The sequence below is a fragment of the Homo sapiens genome, chromosome 1 (assembly GCF_000001405.40).
Source record: "Homo sapiens chromosome 1, GRCh38.p14 Primary Assembly".
Classification (NCBI taxonomy): Eukaryota; Metazoa; Chordata; class Mammalia; order Primates; family Hominidae; genus Homo; species Homo sapiens.
The window spans coordinates 88,087,389-88,089,821 of record NC_000001.11 but is presented as its reverse complement, the minus strand read 5'-3'; the positions used below and the strand labels follow the sequence as shown (position 1 = coordinate 88,089,821).

Here is a 2,433-nt window from a genome sequence, read left to right as displayed (position 1 = left end):
CCTAATAGGCAAGTTGGAGACTTCATGCATCTCACAGGCTGGGGCTGGGGCTCCAGTACAGCAAGTGGTTGGCATAGGTGGCAGCCTCATATGTTTCCTCCACCACTACCTGAAACTAGAAGAAGTGAGCATTCCCTAGCCATGTGCTTGCAGGCCCACTGCATGCCCCTTTGAAATGAAGACCTTAGTTCCTCTGCATTGGGGAATGAGAGTGACACATGGTTCTCCATTTTTTATATGTTGTGGAAAGTGAAAACTCAATTCACTGTATGTGTGTCTCACACAGTACCAGACAAGAGTTGGAATTACAAAGTGGAGGCCTACCAAACATTCCAATTTATTTTAGTGAAACTTAAATCAGGGACTTATATCGTCAAACCAAATGAAACATCAGATCAGCCGATAAATATTGGCCTCTAGGCAAAACCAAATGTCTGATTGTCCTTGGCACAAGGAGCTACAAGTGCAGAGTGGAGAACAGAACTAGCCTATGTAGGGTTCAGTAAGCACCAGATAGAATGGAAATGAGAGAGTGACAGAAAGATACCCAGATGCCAGTTCATTTAGAGTCTTGCTGGCCATGACAAAGATTTTAGCTTTTAGTTTACATAATCTAATAAGCCTCTGGAAGATATTGATGTGATTAATATTTAAAAGGTCATTTGGAGGGTGGGCCAAGATGGCTGACTAGAAGCAGCACCCTTCAGAGGCTCCCACTGAAAAAAACCATAATAAGCATGTGAATCCTTCACCTGCAATCAAGGTATCCAGGTTCTCTCATCAAAATTGACTAGAAGGCTGGCGTGACCTATGGAGAGAAGGAAGAGCAGTGTGTTGCGGTGGCCCACCTGAGGAGCCACACAGGGAAGGGGAACCCCTTCCCCCCAGCCAAGGGAAGCAATGAGTGAGCTTGTTATCCAGCCAGGGAAACTGTGCTTTTTCCACGCAACTGTGCAACCCACAGATCGGAAGATCCCACTCACAAATCCGTGCCACTGGGGCCTAACATCCCAACCCCAGAACTTTCAGATTCTTAGAGCCTCTCAACTGGATTCTGATTAACCCTACTGAACTCCCAGTGGGAGGAGCGACCAACACCAGCTGCAGCTGCCTGCTATTGAAGCCATTTGAGCTCCTTCGGGGGAGGGGCAGCAGCCAGCACTGGGACTCACGACTGCCTAACACCCTAATCTCCCTGGGTGGGGGAAGGGCGGCACCCATTTCTATAGCTCCAGGCTGCGCTTTTCCCCTGCTGGAGCCAGGGAGACTGGACAGCCTGGTCCCAAGACTTGTCCCCACAGCCCAACACACCAGCTGTGGCCATCTGTGGCCAGAGTGCCTTTTCAGTTCTAAACCTGACCCACCCTTCCTCAGTGGGCAATGCTTCCCTGCAGGATCTCCAATAACTCCAGCCATAGGCTCAGGGACAGAATTCGGATCTCCCTGGGCCTGAGCCCCTAGCGGGAGGAGTGGCTGCAGTCTCTGCAGACCAGCAGACTTAGCCTCTCCTCCTGGTAGTTCTGAGGAATCCGGGCAGCCCAGAAGAATGGGTTTCCCCCCAGCAAAACACACCATCTCCACCAAGGGACAAAGTGCTTCGTTAAAATGGTCCTGCTCCTTGTGCCACCCAACTGGATGAGATCCTCCAACAGGGGTTGTCAGACACCCTATACAGGACCGATCCTACTGGCATCAGGTTGGTGCCCCTCAAGGTCAGGGGTCCCAGAAAAAGGAGTAGACACCCATCTTTGCTGCTCTCCAGCCTGCTTGAGTGACATCTCCAGGCATAGGAGCAAATCAGATGAATCCGGCCTGAAGTGAATCCCTAGCAAACTGCAGCAGCCCTATAGAAGAAGGACCTGACTATTAAAAGAAAAACAAACAAGCATTAAGCAGCAACAATGGCATCGACAACCACAAGGCCCCCACAAAAACCCCATCCAAGGGTCAGCAGCCTCAAAGACTGAAACTAGACAAACTCATGATTCTTTCTGAATTAACGAAAAAATGCCAAAACCCCAAAAGGCCAGAGTGCCTCTTCTTCTCCAAATTATCGCAACATTTCTCTATCAAGGGCACAGAACTGATGGAGGATCAGGTGGATGAACTGACAAAAGTAGGCTTCAGAAGATGGGTAATAAAAAACTACGATACACTAAAGGAGCATGTTCTAACCCAAAGACCTGTCTTACATGCAAAGACACATACAGACTCAAAATAAAGGGATGGAGGAAAATTTACCAAGCAAATGGAAAGCAAAAAAAAGCAGGGGTTGCAATCCTAGTCTCTGACAAAACAGACTTTAAACCAACAAAGATCAAAAGAGACAAAGAAGGGCACTACATAATGATAAAGGGACAATTCAATAAGAAGAGCTAACTATTCTGAATATATATGCACCCAATACAGGAGCACCCAGATTCATAAAACAAG

General features: G+C 47.9%; 1 annotated feature.

Annotated features, from left to right (window-relative positions):
* Nucleotides 1,189–1,690: an enhancer, noted in NCBI's record as "H3K4me1 hESC enhancer chr1:88553815-88554316 (GRCh37/hg19 assembly coordinates)". NCBI's record gives its function as "activates a minimal SCP1, AML or CMV promoter by ChIP-STARR-seq in naive H9 embryonic stem cells {active_cell/tissue: H9 hESC(naive)}" and the evidence as "EXISTENCE:reporter gene assay evidence [ECO:0000049][PMID:30033119]".